This window comes from Homo sapiens, chromosome 9 (genome assembly GCF_000001405.40).
Source record: "Homo sapiens chromosome 9, GRCh38.p14 Primary Assembly".
NCBI classification, from domain to species: Eukaryota; Metazoa; Chordata; class Mammalia; order Primates; family Hominidae; genus Homo; species Homo sapiens.
In genome coordinates, this window is record NC_000009.12 from 136,774,052 (window position 1) to 136,795,287 (window position 21,236).

Below are 21,236 nucleotides of genomic sequence, written 5' to 3' on the forward strand. Positions count from 1 at the left end.
ACAGCAAGATGGAAGGAGGCTAAGACCCTAAAAACTGCATAGAGAAGAATCTCCCGACTGCCTTGGACTTTCATGTGAAGGGAATGAACCTCTGTCTTAGTTAAGCCACCGTGATTCAGGGTCCTTGTCACATTCACCGAGGCTGTAACCTAATTGGTAGAAAGAACAGGAGCGGGAGGGGAGATGGAGTCAGAGAGGCAGGCAGAGGTCAGATCACATCAGGCCTGCAGGTCAAGATGGAGGAAGAAACAGGCAACATAGGACTCAAGGACCACACCTGCTCCCAGGTGAAGGGATTTTGCCGTGGGTGCCCCTCCCTGTCTGCTGGAGAAAGCTAATTTGACCCACTTCCCTTTAGGACTTTGCAAGATGCACATCACAGTCACAGGTACTTGTCTCCTAACAGTCCTTTCAGGGGAACTGCCCCACCCCTAATTAACCCAGCCTCAGGTATTCCTTTATAGCAATGCAGGTGGACTGACACATATCTTTAGTGTCGTGAGACTGTGACAAGAGCAGGAAAGAATCCTCGTGTGCATCCCTCTGAGCGTTGGGAGCTGTTGTTGTAGCAGCTGCTGTTACTCATCCTGACTGATACACAGACACCGCCAGTAGCCCTCTCTCCTGGAAACGCCATGTAAGTTAGGTGAGGCATGACCCAGGAAAGCTCTCAAGCTGACTTCCCTCCTACCCTCAGGGCTGCGGAGCAGGTCCCTCATTATCTAAGATCAGTTGGACACCTGTACGCCTGCCATGGCCTGGAGCAAGTGCCAGGCACTGTGGATGATGAATATGAGAACAGCATCAACCCTGCCCTCCTGCAGGTGACTGGCCAGACCGTGGGATTCCTCCACAACCAACTCTGCACACACAGCTCACTCATGTCGAGCAGGAAGCGGAGCTTGGGATCACCTGACCCGCTCCCCTCACCTGGGAGCAGCTTATATAGAAGCGCCTGTAGTTCACACAGGGCTGATGGTTCCAGCTTCCAAGACACCCCGAGGCCTCCTGGGCTGCTTGGTAATCAGACCAGGTACGTGCAAAGAGGCATGGCTCTTTATTTTCACTTAATTGAGAAAACCACATCAGCAAAGAGAGCATCCAAGCTCAGTGGCCCTTTCTCCCCACAACAGTGACCATTAACCTTTTAAAAGATGCTTTATGGGTTATTTGCCAAACCTCCTTCTTCATGCCGAGGTGTGATGAGGCTCATAAATAGGCCAGACTTGGGAGGGGACAAATGCGAGCAATGCCACCAATGAGAGGCCCAGGCAGAGCCGGTCTCGGGGCTGCCCAGCCATGTGTGCACCAAACATGGATGTGTCAGTGGCCGTGCCAGGAGTCAAGCTCTTGGCCAGGGGCCTCTGGGTGGCCAAGGCCAAGTCTTGTTCAAAAGGTGAGTTCAACTGAGCCAACCATGGCAGAAATACATAAGGGAGACCCCATGCCTCCTCTGGGTAAAATCCCCTGCTAATCCCACCTGGCTCAGAGGAGGAGCCATGTCCTCACAGCAGCCTGCAGTCCCCGCCTGACTCAGCCTCCTCTCGGCTCTGATTCTCCATGCCCCTCTACCCCTCTCTGTCTCCTCTCCCACCCCAGAAAGGGGATCCTGCAGGTTCATCCTGGTGGATTCAAACCCATCTTTGCCACACAGATAGTCATCAGAATGAATGGGCATAATCTATAAAGAGTCCTCTTGAAAAAGAAAAAGGCAGGCCAGGTGCGGTGGCTCACATCTGTAATCCCAGCACTTTGGGAAGCTGAGGCAGGCAGGTCACCTGAGGTCAGGAGTTCCAGACCAGCCTGGCCAACATGGTGAAACTCCACCTCTACTAAAAATACAAAAATTGGCTGGGCATGGTGGCTCACGCCTGTAATCCCAGCTACTCTGGAGGCTGAGGCAGGAGAATCGCTTGAACCCGGAAGGCAGAGGCCACAGTGAGCGAAGATTGTGCCATTGCTCTCCAGTCTGGATGACAGAATGAGACTCCGTCTCAAATAATAATAATAAAAGAAAAAGGTGCCAGGTGCTGTGGCTCACGCCTGTAATCCCAGCACTTTGGGAGGCCGAGGTGGGCGGATCACGATGTCAGGAGATCAAGACCATCCTGGCTAACATGGTGAAACCCCGTCTCTACTAAAAATACAAAATAATGGTAATAATAATAATTAGCCAGGCGTGGTGGCGGGCGCCTGTAGTCCCAGCTACTCTGGAGGCTGAGGCAGGAGAATGGCATGAACCCGGGAGACAGAGCTTGCAGTGAGCCGAGATCGTGCCACGGCACTCCAGCCTGGGCGACAGAGCAAGACTCCATCTCAAAAAAAAAAAATGAAAAAATAAAAAGGCAAAAATTCAGACAACTAAACGGAAACTGGGCAAAAGAGTTGAACCAGACCTGGCTGGGCACAGTGACTCACACCTGTAATCCCAGCACTTTGGGAGGCCGAGGCGGGCGGATCACGAGGTTAAGAGTTCGAGACCAGCCTGGCCAATATTGTGAAACCCTCTCTCTACTAAAAATACAAAAAATTAGCTGGGCGTGGTGGTGCATGCCTGTAGTCCCAGCTACTCAGGAGGCTGAGGAAGAAAAATTGCTTGAACCCAGGAGGTGGAGCTTGCAGTGAGCCAAGATTGTGCCACTGCACTCCAGCCTAGGTGACAGAGTCAGACTCCGTCTCAAAAAAAAAAGAGTTGAACCAGCCCTTCACAGAAAAGGAAATGTGAAGGAAAGGGCAATAAAAACATGAAGAGGGTCTCAGCTAACAGGATGAGGATCACGTGTCACCCACCAGACAGCAAAAATCCCACAGCCCAATCAATGCAAGGATTGGGAAGAATGGAGAGCAATAGGAACCCTCAGCCACTGCTAAGAATGATGTGAAATTGTTTTTGGTATCCCTGCATATGAAAGGGTGTGTTTTGTGGGTTATGAGGAAAATTACATTTCTTACCTGGGATGAAATTGTAAAAACTGAAAGCTACTGACCAGGAGAAATGTGCACCTGTGTACAAAAGAAAGGCCCAAGAGCATTCCCAGCAGCACAGTCCTCAGGGCCCCAGCCTGGCTGAACTCTCGTCCACAGGAAGATGAAGACATTTCCCATGCTCCCCTCAGACGGCGGGAGATCGTGCAGCAATGAAAAAGACTCATGTTAGTGTGGGTGGGTCTCAGGAAGAGAATGGAGACGGGAGATCACGCAGCAATGAAAATGAACCATGTCAATGTGGGTGGGTCTCAGGGAGAGAATGGAGGACAGAAATAGACATCAAGCAGATACTCAGACCCAACGCAGTGTAGGAGCAGCCACCCAGGAGAATTCCTTCACATCAAAGTTCAAAACTACAGCCGAGGCAACAGAGCCCTGTCTCAAAAAGACAACAGAAAGTTGAAACAGAAACTAGAACGAGTCTGAGGGTCATGGAGCTGGAGACCCGGGGAGGAGTCAGTGCTGCTGTTCCAGTTTGCGGGTCGTGGATCTGGAGACCCAGGGTGGAGCTGGTGCTGCTGTTGTAGTTTGACGGTCATGGAGCTGGAGACCTCGGGAGGGTCCATTTGAAGAGCAGCACCGGCTCCTCCCTGGGCCTCAGGCTCCACGACCTTCAGACTTTAAAAGCGGTAATACCGGCTTCTCCCTGGGTTTCCAGCTATATAACCCTCAGACATGAAGCGCAACAGCACCGGCTCCTCCCCGCCTCCAGTTCCATGACCCTCAAACTACAACAGCAGCACCAGCCTCTCCCCAGGTCTCCAGCTCCACCACCTTCAAACTAGAACAACACCACCAGCTTCTCCCTGGGTCTCCAGTTCCACAACGCTCAAACTAGAACAACACCAGCTTCTCCCCAGGTCTCCAGCTCCACAGCCCTCAAACTAGAACAACGCTGGCACCTCCCTGATTCTCCAGTTCCATGACCCTATAATTAGAACAACACCAGCTCCTTCTCTGGTCTCCAGCTCCACAACCCTCAAACTAGAATAACACCAGCTCCTCTCCAAGTCTCCAGTTCCATGACTCTCAAACTAGAACAACACCAGCTCCTCCTCAGTTCTCCAGCTCCACGACCCTCAAACTAGAACAACACTGGCTCCTCCCCAGGCCTCCAGCTCCATGACCCTTAAACTAGAACACCACCACCAGCTTCTCCCCTGGTCTCCAGCTCCATAACCCTCAAACTAGAAAACACTGGCACCACCCCGATTCTCCAGCTCCACTAACCTCAAACTAGAACAACACCAGCTCCTCCTCAAATCTCCAGGTCCAGGACCCTCAAACTAGAAAAACACTGGCTCCTCCCCAGGCCTCCAGCTCTGCAATCCTCAAACTAGAACAACACCATCTCCTCCCCAGGTCTCCAGCTCTGTGAACCTCAAACTAGAACAACACCACCAGCTCCTCCCAGGTCTCCAGCTCCCCAACCCTCAAACTGGATCAACACCAGCTCCTCCAGGGTCTCCAGCTCCCCGACCCTCAAACTGGATCAACACCGGCTCCTCCAGGGTTTCCAGCTCCCCAACCCTCAAACTGGATCAACACCGGCTCCTCCTCAGTCTCCAGCTCCGTGACCCTCAAACTGGATCAACACCGGCTCCTCCTCAGTCTCCAGCTCCCCGACCCTCAAACTGGATCAACACCAGCTCCTCCAGGGTCTCCAGTTCCCCGACCCTCAAACTGGATCAACACCAGGTCCTCCAGAGTCTCCAGCTCCCCGACCCTCAAACTGGATCAACACCAGCTCCTCCAGGGTCTCCAGCTCCCCAACTCTCAAACTGGATCAACACCGGCTCCTCCAGGGTCTCCAGCTCCCCGACCCTCAAACTGGATCAACACTGGCTCCTCCAGGGTCTCCAGCTCCCCGACCCTCAAACTGGATCAACACTGGCTCCTCCTCAGTCTCCAGCTCCGTGACCCTCCAACTGGATCAACACCAGCTCCTCCAGGGTCTCCAGCTCCCCGACCCTCAAACTGGATCAACACTGGCTCCTCCCCAGGCCTCCAGCTCCGTGACCCTCAAACTAGATCAACACCAGCTCCTCCAGGGTCTCCAGCTCCCCAACGCTCAAACTAGATCAACACTGGCTCCTCCAGGGTCTCCAGCTCCCCAATGCTCAAACTAGATCAACACCAGCTCCTCCAGGGTCTCCAGCTCCCCAACCCTCAAACTAGATCAACACCGGCTCCTCCTCAGGTCTCCAGCTCCCCGACCCTCAAACTGGATCAACACCAGCTCCTCCAGGGTCTCCAGCTCCCCAATGCTCAAACTAGATCAACACCGGCTCCTCCTCAGGTCTCCAGCTCTGCGACCCTCAAACTAGAACAACAACACCATCTCCTCCCCGTCTCTCCTACTTGCATGTCCATTTATAGGCTCTCTGCAAGAAGAAAAATATGGCTTTTTTTGCCCGAACCTGCAGGCAGTCAGACCTTATGGTTGTCTTCCCTTGTTCCCTAAACATTGCTGTTATTCTGTTCTTTTTCAAGGTGCACTGATTTCATATTGTTCAAACATACATGTTTTACAATCAATTTGTACAGTTAACACAATTATCACAGTGGTCCTGAGGTGACTTACATCCTCAGTTTACAAAGATAACAGGAGTAAGTGACTAAAGTAAAGACAGGCATAAGAAATTGTAAAAGTATTATTTGGGAACTGACAAATGTCCATGAAATCTTCACAATTTGTGTTCTTCTGCTGCGGCTCCAGCTGGTCCCTCCATTCGGGGTCCCTGACTTCCTGCAACATGCTGGCATGCACCTGTAGTCCCAGCTACTCAGGAGGCTGAGGCAGAGAATTGTTTGAACCTGGGAGGTAGAGGTTGCAGTGAGCCAAGATCGCTGCCACTACACTCCAGCCTGGGCCACAGAGCGAGACTCCGTCTCAAAAAAAAAAGAAAGAACTGGAGGCTGACACAGGCCAAAGAAGCAGCTCAGGCTGAAATTGAACAGTACCACCTGCAGAGGGAGAAAGAGTTGAAAGCCAAGGAAGCTGCGGCACTGGAATCCATGGCACTGGCAGCACCAAAGTGGAGAAGGAGACCCAGGAGAAGATGACCATCCTCCAGACCTACTTTCCTCACAACAGGGATGAAGTCTGGGATAACCTCTTGGCTTTTGTCTGTGACATTCAGCCAGAAATGCATGAAAACTACCGCATAAATGGATAGAAGAAGAGAAGCACCTGTTCTTTGGATAGGCATTTTAGATGCCCTCATGAAATATGAAGCTTTAGCATAGCTCTAGTTATAGTCTTATGAAATTATGAAGGGGACCTGCCCCTCCACACCTGCGGGTATTTCTCACCAGGTGGAGATGAGAGACTGAGAAAACAAATAAGACACAAAGACAAAGTATAAGGGAAGAAAAGTGGGCCCAGGGGACCGGCACTCAGCAAGTGAGGAACTGCACCGACGCTGGTCTCTGAGTTCCTCAGTATTTATTGATCACTAGCTCTACTATCTCGGTGAGGGGGACATGGCAGGACTATAGGGTAATGGTGGGCAGAGGGTCAGCAGGAAAACATGAGCAAAGGACTCTGTGTCATAAATAAGTTTAGGGAAAGGTGCTGTGCCTGGATGTGCACGTAGGCCAGGTTTATGTCTGACTTTACACAAACCTCTCAGTGCAGTAAAGAGCAGTATTGCCGCCAGCATGTCTCACCTCCAGCCATGGGGCAGTTTTCTCCTATCTCAGTAAACAGAATGTATGATTGGGCTTTACACCAAGACATTCCATTCCCAGGGATGAGCAGGAGACAGATGCCTTCCTCTTATCTCAACTGCAAAGAGGCCTTCCTCTTTCACTAATCCTCCTCAGTACAGACCCTTTATGGGTGTCAGCCTGGGGGACGATCAGGTCTTTCCCTTCCCATGAGGCCATATCTCAGGCTGTCTCAGTGGGGGGAGACCTGGACAATACGCAGGCTTTCTTGGGCAGAGGTCCCTGCGGCTTTCCGCAGTGCACTGTGTCCCTGGTTAATGGAGAATGGAGAATGGCGATGACTTTTACCAAGCATACTGCCTGCAAACACATTGTTAACAAAGCACATGCTGTATAGCCCTAAATCCCTCAAACCTTGAGTTAACACAGCACATGTTTCTGTGAGTACAGGGTTGGGGCTAAGGTTACAGATTAACAGCATGTCAAAGCAGAAGAATTTTTCTTAATACAGATCAAAATGGAGTTTCTTATGTCTTCCTTTTTCTACATAGACACAGTAACAGTCTGACCTCTCTTTCCCCCACATTTCCCCCTTTTCTTTTTGACAAAACCACCATCATCATCATGGCCCATTCTCGATGGTCGCTGTCTCTTCGGAGCTGTTGGGTACAGCTGCAGACTGACAACAGACAGAAGCATTAACACGAAATTTACGATAGCGGAACTTCCGAGGGTTTTAACCCAAGTGACAGGGTTAAGACTTGTGAGGCCGGCTGGGCACGGTGGCTCACGCCTGTAATCCCAGCACTTTGGGAGGCCAAGGTGGGTGGATCACGAGGTCAGGAGATTGAGACCATCCTGGCTAACAGAGTGAAACCCTGTCTCTACTAAAAAAATACAAAAAAATTGGCTGGGCGTGGTGGCAGGCGCCTGTAGTCCCAGCTACTCAGGAGGCTGAGGCAGGAGAATGGCATGAACCTGGGAGGTGGAGCTTGCAGTGAGCCGAGATAGTGCCACTGCACTCCAGCCTGGGCGACAAAGTGAGACTCCGTCTAAAAAAAAGAGAGAGAGAGAGACTTGTGAGGCCATCAGCAACTCCCGCAATTGCCTCAGTTCCTGGTACCAAATTTAAATGGGCTTTTGATGCTTCAAAAATTTGTTCTTTTAATATCACCATTCTGTTCATCTGGCGAGTCAATGGTGCTCAATTGCGGTGTCTCTGTCTCCACGGAGGCGTTTTTCTTTGCATCTCCGATGGGTTCATTGTAGAACTTTAAATGTCTAGTGGGTATCCAAACAGGAAGCTGATTTTCTCCTGGTGAAACACAAGCAAAACCTCTCCCTCACGTTACCACCTTCCCTATTTCCCATGTCTTATTTTTGTTGTCTTTCCACCAAATTAGTTTTCCTTCATGTGGGCTGTTCTTTTTACCAGTAAGATGTTGTTCTGCAGAGGTAGTAGTCTGATTTCTATAAAGGTTTAAAAAATTTAAAGTATAGAGTGCTAGGTTAAGTTGCATCTGAAGAGTGATATACTCCGTACTGTCTCCCTCTTTTCTTTGTTTAACCAATTGAGTTTTCGGTGTTCTATTAGTTCTTTCAACTATGGCCTGTCATTGGGAATTATAGGGAATTCCTGTTGTACGTGCAATTTTCCACTGATTCAAGAATTTTTGGAAAGCTTTACTATAGTATCCTGGTCCATTGTCAGTTTTAATTTTTTCTGGAACTCCTATGACAGCAAAAAAAGAAAAATAAATGTCTTTTAACATGGGAAGTACTTTCTCCTGTCTGTCAGGTTGCCCACATGAAATGTGAATAAGTATCAACTGTTACATGAACATATGACAATCTTCCAAATGAAGGAACATGCGTGACATCCATTTGCCATAACGCATTAGGACGCAGACCTCTGGGATTAACTCCTGCCTCCTGAGTGGGCAGGTGTAGGGCTTGACACCAGGTGCAGTGTTGTGCAATACTTTTTGCCTGTTTCCATGTGATATTAAATTTATTTTTTAAACCTGTTGCATTTACATGACTCAAAGCATGAAGTTCTTGTGCTTTTGTGAATGCAGATGATACCAGTAAGTCAGCTTGCTCATTTGCTTTAGTTAAAGGCCCTGGTAAATTAGTGTGTTCTCAAATATGAGTAATATAAAATGGGAGATTTCTTCTTCTCACAGTTTGTTGTAATAAATTGAACGGCTGGTTTAACTGATCATCCATGCTATGTTTGATTAGGGCTGTCTCAATATCCCTTGTGGCCTGTACTACAGATGCAGAATCTGATACAATATTAATAGGCTGATTAAAATCTTGTAACACTGTAATGACGGCAACCAACTCTGCTCTTTGAGCCGAATGATATTGAGTTTCAAGGCCTCCTTCTTTTGGCCCAGTGTAAGCTGCTTTTCCATTGCTGGAACCATCAATAAACACAGTCAGATCATTTTCTAAAGGTTTATGTCTGGTAATTTTAGGTAAAATCCAAGTAGTCAGTTTTAAAAACTGGAAGATGTTTGTTTTTGGGTAATGATTATCAATAATTCCCACAAAATCAGCAAGACCAGTCTGCCATGCACTAGAATTGATAAAGGCTTGTCTAAACTGTTCCTCGTTTAAAGGAACAATGATTTGTCTGGGTCACTTCCACACAATTAGATTATTCGTAATCTTGCCTGACCAATTAATGTAGCCATTTGATCCAAGTACAATGTAAAAATCTTAACTGTACTGTGAGGAAGGAATGACCACTCCACAAGATCTGTATTTTGAACAATGATGCCTGTTGGAGAATGTGCAGTAGCAAAAATCAAAAGTTGGAGTGGAGCCAAGGGATCTAGTCTATTTACTTGTGCTGATCGAATTTTCTTCAAATAATTTGGAGTGCAGTGGTGCGATCTCGGCTCACTGCAAGCTCCGCCTCCCGGGTTCATGCCATTCTCCTGCCTCAGCCTCCCAAGTAGCTGGGACTACAGGCACCCGCCACTGCGCCCGGCTAATTTTTTGTATTTTTAGTAGAGCTGGTGTTGCACCGTGTTAGCCAGGATGGTCTCGATCTCCTGACCTCGTGATCCACCCACCTTGGCCTCCCAAAGTGCTGGGATTACAGGTGTGAGCCACCGTGCCCGGCCTCATTTAATATTTTTAATGTATCTTTTCTTATTTCTATTTTTTGTGGTTTAATTTTTCTATTTTCTACCTGTATCCCTAAATAATGAAAAGGAGTTGTTGTTTGAATTTTATCAGATGCTATCATCAGTCCTGCGTTGGCAACCTCTGCTTGTAGAAATGTGTAACAGTCAGTTAATTTATCTCTCATTTCTGAAGCACATAGAATATCATCTACATAATGAACAATATAACAGTCTGGAAACTTGTCTCTAACTAGTTGAAGAGCTTGACCTACAAAAGTCAGACAAATAGCTGGGCTGTTTAACATTTCCTGAGGTAACACTTTCCACTGAAACCTGGTGGCTGGTTCCTTATTATTTATGGCTGGTATAGTATAAGCAAATTTTTCAAAATCCTGCTTCACCAGAGGAATGGTAAAAAAAAGCAATCCTTCAGATCAATTATAATTAAAGGCCAATCTTTGAGGATCATGGCTGGAGAGGGCCATGAGGGCCAGAGAGGGCGGGTTGGAGAGGCCCCCATGGGTTGAATTATGGCGTTAATGGCTCTTAAATCATTTAGCATTCGCCATCTGCCGGATTTTTTCTGAATTACAAACACAGGAGAATTCCAAGGCGAGAATGAAGGCTCAATATGTCCCTTTTCTAATTGTTCCTTTGCTAATAAATGTAAAGCCTCCAGTTTTTGTTTTGGTAGCAGCCATTGATCTACCCATACAGGTTTTTCTGCTTTCCAAGTTAATGGAATGGGTTTTGGAGGCTGTACAGTGGCCGTCCCTAAAAAGGATAACCTATTCCCTTTTTTTCCTTGATTTCCCTCAGCCTCAATTGGGACTTCAATACCATTTTCACTCTTTCCTAGTCCGTTTTCTGGTACATGTCCCATTTCAGTCATGATTTTTTGACTCATGGGGCTGGATAATGGAGCGGGCATACTGATTTCCATACTCCATTGTTGTAATAAATCTCAACCCCACAGATTAACAGGAATTGGAGTAATCATTGGCTGAGCAGTACTTTTTTGATTATCTGGCCCTAAACAATGTAAAATCATAGTACTTTGATACACTTCTGAGGCAGTGCCTACGCCCACCAAACTTGCAGCCATCTTTTGGCCAATTTCTTGGCCACTGATGCAAAACAATGATAGAGACATCCGCCCCAGTGTAGGGTCCAGCCCTACAGGACCTTGTGGGTTTCCTCTTCATGTGCAGAGATGAGAGATTGTAGAAAGAAAGACATGAGACTAAGGGATAGTAGGAAAGACAGCTGGGCCCTGGGGCCACTACCACCAATGCGCGGAGTCCGGTAGTGGCCCCGAAGGCCTGGATGCACTGCTATTTATTGTATACAAGGCAAGGGGGCAGGGTAAGGAGTGTGAGTCACCTCAAGTGATTGATAAGGACAAGCAAGTCAAGTGTCCACATGACAAGGGGACTTTCCCTTTGTGGTAGCTGAAGCAGAGAGGGAGGACAGCAGACGTTAGCATATCTTCTATGCACTTATCAGAGAGATCAAAGACTCTAATACTTTCGCTAATTCTGCTACTGCTATCTTCTAAGAACTTAAGAGAAGCAGCAGGTGTACAGGCAGAATATGAAAGTGGACAAGGAGCATGACCACTGAAGCACCACAGGGAGACGTTGAAGCCTCCGATGACTGCGGGCAGGCCTGGGGAATGTCAGGTCCCCCACAAGAACTGGTGGAGCAGAGTGCTCGCTAACTCTCCCAGGGAAAGGGAGACTCCCTTTCCTGGTCTGCTAAGTAACGGGTGCCTTCCAGGCGCTGGCGCTACCGCCAGGCCAAGGTCCGCTGAGTAACGGGTGCCTTCCCAGGCACTGGCGCTACCGCCAGGCCAAGGTCTGCTGAGTAATGGGTGCCTTCCCAGGTGCTGGCGCTACCGCCAGGCCAAGGTCTGCTGAGTAACGGGTGCCTTCCCAGGCACTGGCGCTACCGCTAGACCAAGGTCCGCTGAGTAACGGGTGCCTTCCCAGGTGCTGGTGCTACCACTAGACCAAGGAGCCCTCAAGCAGCCCTTATCTGGGCGTGACAGAGAGCTCACACTCTTGTCTTCTGGTCACTTCTCACAATGTCCCTTCAGCTCCTAACTCTGTATGGCCTAGTTTTTCTTTGGTTATAATAATAATACAAAGGTTAATACAGAAAACTAATGATTGATAATATCCATATATAATCATCTCTATATCCTATTTCGAATATAACTTTCTCTTTTCCTAACTATTTTCTTGATTATACTGGAACAGCTTGTGCCTTCAGTCTCGTGTCTCGGCGCCTGGGTGGCTTTCCGCCCACACCCCAGGGTCTACTAACCCTTCAAACTGTTTTCCCTGAATAATGGCCTTACACACAGGTCTGCTTTCTGAGACCTGACTTGCCCAATATGCAGCCTTTCCTGCCAGATCAGTGCTCCCAAACCCTCCTGTTCTTTTTGTCTCACTGTTTCCAACCTTAATATAAGGCAGGAGTAATAATTGAGCAATTCCGTCTCCTGGACGGGCACTCCAAGGAATTGAGGAGCTAATAACCAATTGAATTTCACCTTTGTAATCTGTATCAACCACACCAGTATGAATTTGAACTCCCTTTAGATTTAAACTTGATCTTCCTAAGATGAGTCCTACAGTCCCCTCGGGCAGTGGGCCGTATACCCCTGAGGGGATTTTTTGTGGGGGCTCCCCTGGAAGCAGAGAGACTGCTGGTATAACACATAAATCTACTGCTGCACTGCCGCTTGTGGCGGGGGACAATTGTTGTATTGTGGTAACTGGCCCGTTCCCTGAGGCACTTGTGACAGTGGAGGTTGTTGTCCCTGAAAACCCTGAGGAACAAAAGGCTGAATCGGGAACGCCCCAGTTTGTTGCGAGGCCTGAGGCTGGCCCCTCTTCCAGTTTTCCGACAATGGTTGCCCATTTTTATCAAATTTAGAACGACATTGATTAGCCCAATGTTTTCCTTTTCCACATCTTGGACACAGGCCAGGTGGCTCTTTATTTTTGGCTGTAGTAGTTTGATTTGTTATATTCTGTTTATTTAAGACTGGGCAATTCTTTTCTAAATGACCAATTTGACCACAATTATAACATTTTCCCTCAAATGTTCTAACTTGTCCTCCTAAAGCAACCCCAGTTTTTGCTGGAGCCATTAGCATAGCTTTATGCATAGCCCCTCCAATTCCATCATAGGCTTTTACATACTCTGAGACTACATCTGACCCTGCTGGGACATTCCCTTTTAATGGCTTAATGGCTGATTGACACTCAGGATTGTCGTTTTCGTATGCCATCAACTCCACTATGACCTTACGGGCATTCTCATTGGCCATTGACTTTTGAGCAGCATCTTGGAGCCTTGCCACAAAATCAGGGTAGGGCTCTTTAGAGCCTTGTCTTATTGTATTGAATGAGGGGCAGGTGGTTCCCGGGTCTTGGATTTTTTTCCCAGGCTCTAAGGCAGATAGCTCTAACTTGCTCAATGGCCACATATTGTATTATTGCTTGTTGATTAGTAGTGCTCCAATTTTGACCTGTTCCTAATACTTGATCTGCATCTGTGTTAACTGGAGGATTGGCAGCCCTATTTTTTCGGACCTGTTCTTGTGTCCCATCAATCCACCAGGTCTTAAATTGTAAAAATTGAGGTGAGAGTGATGATTTGGCCAAAATCTCCCAATCATAAGGAATGAGTCTATGTCCATGAGCAGTGGAATCTAATAATGTTCTTATATAAGGGGAGTTGGGTCCATACTGTTTTACTCCCTCTTTCATGTCTTTTAGCATTTTCATAGAAAAGGACCCATTTCTGGCATCAGCTCGGGGAGGCGCTCCCTCTTGGGCCCCTCTTCCAGGTGGTATGGGTTCTAATATTACCGGGGTCTGCCACGCGTCAGTATCCCCTTGTTTTGTCTTTTCAATAATTTTATGTAATGCACGACCCTGTCCACTAGGTGGTGCTGTAGGATTACGTCTCATAGTGGGCGGCTGCGGCTATAGCGCCCTGCCCTGCGGTGCTGGAAACATCCTGGCCATCCATACTGATACTCTGGGGGCGGCCGATACTGAAGTTTGGCTGGCGGCCAGTATTGATAGGCTACCGGCAGTTGGGTCTTATTTTCTACCAGCTGATATTGTGGATACTGCATCTGGATTGGCATTGCTGGGATAGAGACTCTTTCCTTTTCTATTTGATATTCTCTTGGGGTTTGTACTTGTCTAACCTGCATTTGAGGTTGTAATGTTACAGGCATCTGAACCGCGGGAGGAGGAGTTGATGGCCATCGTGGTTTAGACTCTGATGGCCCCAATAATTCTGGACCTTTTCCCCCCAATTTTAGTGGTCCAGAATATATTACCTCCTGTAATTGATTGTAGTCAACATTTTGCGCTGACCGAGGCATTACAGACTCTGCTACATATTTACAATGTGAACTTTCCGTTCCTTTCTCGAATTCTGTCCCTGCCTCTTCTTCACAATCTATTACACAGCTTTCAGGGGCATCAGAAACTGAAACGCTATCTTCTCCTGTTTGAAATGATTCTAAAGCTGCTTTAATAATGGCCCAATCATTCCATACTGTAAGTGGGATGATTTTACCTTCCCTATTTGCTTGCTTTAATTCTTTGCCAATTTTTTCCCAATCTTTTAGATCTAAAGTTCCTTGTTTTGGAAACCATGGGCAGAATTGTTCTATTGTTTGAAATAGTGTAATTAGATTTTCTGTAGAGGCTCTAACTCCCCCTCTTCTTAAAAAAATTTTAATGAAGCTGAGATAAGAGGCATATTTACTTTCAGTTTGTCCCATTGTTACCCTGGGTTCCTCCGAGTGCACAAGCTTACCGCGAAGCTGACCACGGACGTACTCGTTTTGTCCTAAACTATCACACCATAGCGTATCTTCACCTTACAGAACGGAACCCACGATGGGTGCCAGATGAAGGGGGCCTGCCCCTCCACACCTGTGGGTATTTCTCACAAGGTGGAGACGAGAGACTGAGAAAAGGAAATAAGACACAAAGTATAAAGGAAGAAAAGTGGGCCCAGGGGACCGGCGCTCAGCAAGTGCGGACCCACGCCAGCACTGGTCTCTGAGTTTCCTCAGTATTTATTGATCACTAGCTCTACTATCTCGGCGACGGGGATGTGGCAGGACTATAGGGTAATGGTGGGGAGAAGGTCAGCAGGAAAACATGAGCAAAGGACTCTGTGTCATAAATAAGTTTAAGGAAAGGTGCTGTGCCTGGATGTGCACGTAGGCCAGGTTTATGTTTGACTTTACACAAACATCTCAGTGCAGTAAAGAGCAGTATTGCCGCCAGCATGTCTCACCTCCAGCCACAGGGCGGTTTTCTCTTATCTCAGTAAATAGAATGTACGGTTGGGTTTTACACCAAGACATTCCATTCCCAGGGACGAGCAGGAGACAGATGCCTTCCTCTTATCTCAACTGCAAAGAGGCCTCCCTCTTTCACTAATCCTCCTCAGCACAGACCCTTTATGGTTGTCAGCCTGGGGGACGGTAAGGCCTTTCCCTTCCCACGAGGCCATATCTCAGGCTGTCTCAGTGGGGGGAAACCTGGACAATACGCAGGCTTTCTTGGGCAGAGGTCCCTGCGGCTTTCCGCAGTGCACTGTGTCCCTGGTTAATGGAGAATGGAGAATGGTGATGACTTTTACCAAGCGTACTGCCTGCAAACACATTGTTAACAAGGCACATCCTGCACGGCCCTAAATCCCCTAAACCTTGAGTCAATACAGCACATGTTCCTGTGAGCACAGGGTTGGGGCTAAGGTTACAGATTAACAGCATTTCAAAGCAGAATAATTTTTCTTAGTACAGATCAAAATGGAGTTTCTTATGTCTTCCTTTTTCTACACAGACACAGTAACAGTCTGATCTCTCTTTTCCCCACAAATGGCATTAAATTATTTCCATATATTATAGAGTAGGTCCTTCCACATTTTGAAGAGTAGCAAATCTAGCTTTTTTGTACAGACTTATAAATTATCTAAAGACTTCAGCCTTTTTTTTTTTTTTGAAACAGAGTCTCACTCTGTCGCCCAGGCTGGAGTGCAGTGGCACGATCTTGGCTCCCTGCAACCTCCACCTCCCAGGTTCAAGTGATTCTCCTGCCTCAGCCTCCCCAGTACCTGGGATTATAGGCACCTGCCACCACGCCCGGCTAATTTTTGTATTTTTAGTAGAGACGGGGTTTCACCATCTTGGCCAGGCTAGTATTTAACTCCTGACCTTGTGATCCACCTGCCTCGGCCTCCCAAGGTGCTGGGATTACAGGCGTAAGCCACCGCACCTGGCCAAGATTTCATCTTTTTACCTCATATTTCTTAGGAATTTAATGGTTATATGTTGTCTTTTTTCCCATGCCTTTTGGCTCAAGCAACACGTATATCAGTGTTGACTTTTTCTTTCTTTGATCTAGTTTAAAAAAAAAAACCACATAATAATTCTTTGAAGAAAGGAAGGGGTTAATTTTTTTCCCTAGCACTTTCTTGAAGATCAGGGACTTTATCGATGAAAAAGTAGTAAATAGTTATTTGTAACCTGTGTGAAGCAGCAGCCTGACTTGAAGTCCTCCGTTCTTGCTAATGGTTACACCAGTGAATACTAGTGGAATTGTTTGGGCTGATTTTAGTTTCTCTTAATCAAAATTACTAGATGATAGAATTCAAGAACTTGTACATGTTATTACTTGGTGTATCGATAATTATTTGAAAGTAAAGACTCTTTGTCATGCAAAACAAAAGGAGTTTGAGGCTCAGCTACTAAGCTGCTGGTTACAGAACCACTTTGCTAAACAGTGATTTTATACATCCCCACTCCGTGGTGGCTTATGAGAAATTCAATCCCTGATTGTAGTCCTCAAGCAAAATAACACTGACAATCATCAGGCCTCTGCAAGTGTGGGAATGAGGCCCGGCCGGGGGGAGGAGCGCACGCTCTCAGCCACGCCCCGCCCGGTGCCCGCCTTCGCCCCGCCCAGTCGTCGCCGGAGGTCACAGGGCCCAAGCTCCTAGAGGCGTGGCCAGGCCCCAGGCCCCACCCCTCTCCCCTGCGCTCTAGCAGGCTCGATCCATGCTCCGCCCCCAATCCAAGGCCCTGGCCCCTCCGCCTGCACCCGGCAGGACCCGCCTCTTAGAACCCGACACCTCCGCCTGCGCAGGCCCGCTCCCCGGTCCTGTCTCTCAGGCCCCGCCCCCAGGTCGCGTCTCCAAAGTCCCGTCTCTCAGGCCCCGCCCCCAGATCACGTCTCCCAGGTCCCGCCCCCTCCGCCTGCTGCCGCGCGGACCCGCCCTCAGGCGCCGTCTCCTAGGCCCCGCCCCCTCCGCCTGTTCCAGCGCGGGCCGGTCCCTAGGCCTCGCCCCCAGATCCGGGCCCTGCCCCTCCGTCCGTAACTGCGCAGGCCTGTCCTCTGGGCCACACCCCCAGGTTCCCGTCCCGCCCTTCCGCCTGCGCCTGCGCAGGCCCGCTCCCCGAGCCCTGCCAACCATGGTGAACTTGGGTCTGTCCCGGGTGGACGACGCCGTGGCTGCCAAGCACCCGGTGAGAAGGCCGGTCTGGGACGCGGGCCTCAAACCCCAGAAGCTGACCTGAGCGAGGCGGGGGGCCGGGGCGTGGGGGTGCCCTCGTCAGGGAAGAGTGGCGGAGGCTGGGGGCACTCTCTTGCTAAGGGGCTCAGGGCGTCCGGGTGGGCATAGGGGAGGTGGGACGTGTCCAAGCGCCCAGGGTCTCACTCCTCCACAGCCAGGGTGTGCCCAGAGGAGGGACAGGAGAGGCGGTGAAGGAAGAGGGCAGGGGATCGAGCCTTCACCCGCCTCTGCCACCCCAGGGACTCGGGGAGTATGCCGCATGCCAGTCACACGCCTTCATGAAGGGCGTTTTCACCTTCGTCACAGGTAGGCTGCGTCCAGGTGTCCTGCGGCTGGGAGAGAACGCACCCTCCCGCCCTGCCCTGACTCCCCAGCAGGGGGCGCCAAGTCACCTGCCCGCAGGTGCTGGGGGCCTGGCAAGGTGGGCCCTGGCTATCCCCGGGTACAGGTTGATGGGGACCTCGGCTCTTTGCAGGCACCGGCATGGCCTTTGGCTTGCAGATGTTCATTCAGAGGAAGTTTCCATACCCTTTGCAGTGGAGCCTCCTAGTGGCCGTGGGTGGGTACTCCAGGGCCCCTGCCTGGGCTCTTTGAGGGGTGGGTTTCTGCTAGGGTTGGGGCTGTGGTTCTGCGTCCCTGACTCTGACATGGAGCCCCAGGTCTCGGCGGGAGCCCCACCTGAGCCCACCCACCACGTCTGTCAGGAAGTAGCCTGTGCCCGGTTCTCTTAGCCTGGGAAGCACAGAGGCCCCAGCCCTCTTCCATTTCCTGCTCCACAGTTGCAGGCTCTGTGGTCAGCTACGGGGTGACGAGAGTGGAGTCGGAGAAATGCAACAACCTCTGGCTCTTCCTGGAGACCGGGCAGCTCCCCAAAGACAGGAGCACAGGTGAGAGAGCCTGGGGGTTAGCGAGAAGTGAATGCCACCTCTCCAGCACCCAGAGTTTTGGGCAGCCAAGCCTGGGTGCACCATGCGATAGGCTAGACAAGGTCCCTCCCTCTGGCCCGGCCTCCTCAGCATGTGACTGCCAGATGGGTTGGAGCTGGGGGTGGGCGCAGTAGACAGATCTTGGAGAGCTCCCTTTGAGGAGAAAGAACCAAGAGGGGCTGGGGTGCCCCTGAGATTGAGAGGAAGGGTGCAGAGTGAAGGGTGTGGCAAGGCCACAGCAGCCACGTGGGCACCCGAGAGGAGTGAGGCTGGACTGAGAAGCCCCGCATTGGACCCAGGCCTGGCCTCCACTGCCCGTTGTCCTTGTTACGGAACCCAGTTTCTGCCATGATAAAATGGGCACAGGGATGCCCAGCCACGATGGATGTGGTTCGAGCTTGTCTCTCTTTGCCTTTTACAGATCAGAGAAGCTAGGAGAGCTCCAGCAGGGGCACAGAGGATTGGGGGCAGGAGGAGTCTGGAACACAGCCTTCATGCCCCCTGACCCCAGGCCGACCCTCCCCACACCCTAGGGTACCCCAGTCGTATCCTCTGTCCGCATGTGTGGCCAGGCCTGACAAACACCTGCAGATGGCTGCTGCCCCAACCTGGGACCTGCCCAGGAGGTTGGAGCAGAAAGGGCTCTCCCTGGGGTGGTGTTTCTCCTCTAGGGTATTGGGATGCATGTTCTGCACTGCCAGCAGAGAGGGTGTGTCTGGGGGCCACCACCTATGGGACACGGGGTCGAAGGGGCCTGTACACTCTGTCATTTCCTTTCTAGCCCCTGCATCTCCAACAAGTCCAAGGTGACAGCTGGTGCTAGGGGCGTGGGGTTAATAAATGGCTTATCCTTCTCTCCACCCAAGTTTCCACCTGACCAGGTGAAAAACAAATCAGAAGGGTAAGATGATGACAGGTCACATGAAACCTTTATTACCCTACAGTTGATATATGAGGATCACATGCAAGTTACATACTGAGGATGTACAGGGAAGTTCCCAGCGCTGAACCCCAGAATTAGACGTTCGCATCAGCCCCGTAGGCCACGTGACACCACCACAGCCTCTCTGTATGGGGGTCTGCCTCTGTAGCACTTGGCATGTAGGGGCAGAGCAAAAGGGGCCAGGCTGGCCAGAGCCTGGCTGCTGGGAGAGGAGGGACTTGTGGGCCACGCCCACCTGCCTATCATTCCCCACTCATCTATTAGCCAAAGTCACTCCCCAGAGGCAGAGCTAGCCCGTTGTAGCCGTGTCTGTGTGGAGGGAAAGCTTCTGAGTGGGCAAGCCTACACACAGCCCCGAGCCCCAAGAGGAGGAAGAGGTGGAGACCAGACGGAACCTCCACAAGTCCATCATGGTTACAGCTGGCTTCCCCGCAGCACCGAAGACCCACAGCATGGGCCCTGCTGCCCCCGACCCAGCTCAGCTGCCACGCCTCACCTTGCCAGGCACTGGAAAGAAAGTTTATTGAGTACCTACTGGGCCTTCAGAGTGACAGGAAGCTCAAGTTGACAGTGGCTTCAGCAAGATGGAGCTTTATTTTTCTGTTTTTTGTGGTGTTGTCGTCGTTGTTTGGAGACAGAGTCTCGCTCTGTCACCCAGGCTGGAGGGCAATGGCGTGATGTCGGCTCACTGCAACTTCCACCTCACCAGTTCAAGCCATTCTCCTGCCTCAGCCTCCCAAGTAGCTGGGATTATAGGCACCCACCACCACGCCTGGCTAATATTTATTTATTTATTTATTTTGAGATGGAGTTTCACTCTTGTTGCCCAGGCTGGAGTGCAGTGGTGCAGTCTCAGCTCGCCACAACCTCTGCTGCCCGGGTTCAAGCGATTCTCCTGCCTCAGCCTCCCGAGTAGCTGGGATTACAGGTATGCGCCACCATGCCCAGCTAATTCTGTATTTTTAGTAGAGACGGGGTTTCACTATGTTGGCCAGGCTGGTCTCAAACTCCTGACCTCATGTGATCTGCCCACCTCGGCCTCCCAAAGTGCTGGGATTATAGGCGTGAGCCGCTGGGCACCGCGCCGGGCTGAGCTTTATTTTTCTTTCATGTAAAAGTCCAAGTGAGTGGTCCAGGGTTGACAGGGAATCGGGGACCAGGCTCCTTTCAGTCTGCTCCCTGCTGTAATGGTCTCTGTTCCCAAATCTGCCTCATGGCCCCAGGCGGCTGCACCAGCTTCGGCCATTGTGTCTTTATCTCATTTAAGAGGCAGGAGAGAGGGCAGCTTGCCTGCCACTGCTGCTCTCACTCTGTTGGCCTGAACGAAGTCATCAGGCACATCCAGTGCCAGGATGCTCAGGAAGGCAGAGTTGCTCTGGGCAGCCATGCGCCCACTAAAATTCAGGTGTTTTATATCTGAGGAAGAAGGACAGCAGGTAGGCTCTGCCTCAGCTAGATTCCAAGCCTGGCCCCCAAGAACGAGGGGGAGGTAAGCAGACCACACCCTTAGCAGGACATCCCAGCACCCTGAGGGTGAGGCCTGGGTGGGAGGGAGAGAAGGGAGAACCTGGAGTTTGCCTGGACTGGCTTTCCAAAAACAGTGACCAGAAAGGGAAGGGATCTATGTGACAGCACATGGGCAAAGGCCATTGTCGGGCTGGCTTGGGTCCCCCCAAATTTCTGTCCCCCAGGACCTCTGCATGTCTCTGTATTTGAAGACAGGGGCTTTCCAGAGGTCATTAAGGTAAAATGAGGTCATTGGGGTGTCCTCATAAGAAGAGGAAATTAGGACACAGACACACAGAGGGACGGCCACGTGAGGACACAGAGAAGACAGCATCTGCAAGCCAAGGAGAGGGGCCTCAGGAGACACCAGCCCTGCTGACCCGTGATCTCAGCCCCCAGCCTCCAGGCTGCTGTTCACATCCCCCAGTCGGTGGCGCCTTG

The 21,236-nt window shown here is 50.2% G+C and overlaps 1 protein-coding gene and 1 pseudogene across 1 annotated transcript, besides 4 other annotated features; both read left to right on the top strand.

Annotated features, from left to right (window-relative positions):
• ATP6V1G1P3 (ATPase H+ transporting V1 subunit G1 pseudogene 3) lies at positions 5,890-6,257 on the top strand (annotated as a pseudogene).
• Positions 13,652-13,951: a transcriptional cis regulatory region, noted in NCBI's record as "candidate enhancer chr9.4332 targeted for multiplex CRISPR interference". NCBI's record gives its function as "positively regulates TMEM141 gene expression in K562 cells {active_cell/tissue: K562}" and the evidence as "EXISTENCE:mutant phenotype evidence [ECO:0000015][PMID:30612741]".
• Positions 13,652-14,018: a biological region, named in NCBI's record as "CRISPRi-validated cis-regulatory element chr9.4332". NCBI's record gives its function as "regulatory_interactions: TMEM141".
• Positions 13,859-14,018: an enhancer, noted in NCBI's record as "active region_29327". NCBI's record gives its function as "activates an Ori minimal core promoter by ATAC-STARR-seq in GM12878 lymphoblastoid cells {active_cell/tissue: GM12878}" and the evidence as "EXISTENCE:reporter gene assay evidence [ECO:0000049][PMID:35858748]".
• Positions 16,680-17,719: a silencer, noted in NCBI's record as "silent region_20540". NCBI's record gives its function as "represses an Ori minimal core promoter by ATAC-STARR-seq in GM12878 lymphoblastoid cells {active_cell/tissue: GM12878}" and the evidence as "EXISTENCE:reporter gene assay evidence [ECO:0000049][PMID:35858748]".
• Positions 17,293-19,266, top strand: TMEM141 (transmembrane protein 141). Its single transcript, NM_032928.4, has 5 exons — positions 17,293-17,373; positions 17,660-17,726; positions 17,896-17,979; positions 18,200-18,307; positions 18,768-19,266. Exons 1-5 carry the CDS (start codon positions 17,320-17,322, stop codon positions 18,779-18,781), a joined length of 327 nt encoding a protein of 108 aa, NP_116317.1. The 5' UTR covers positions 17,293-17,319; the 3' UTR covers positions 18,782-19,266.
• Positions 19,267-21,236: the final 1,970 nt, after the last annotated feature.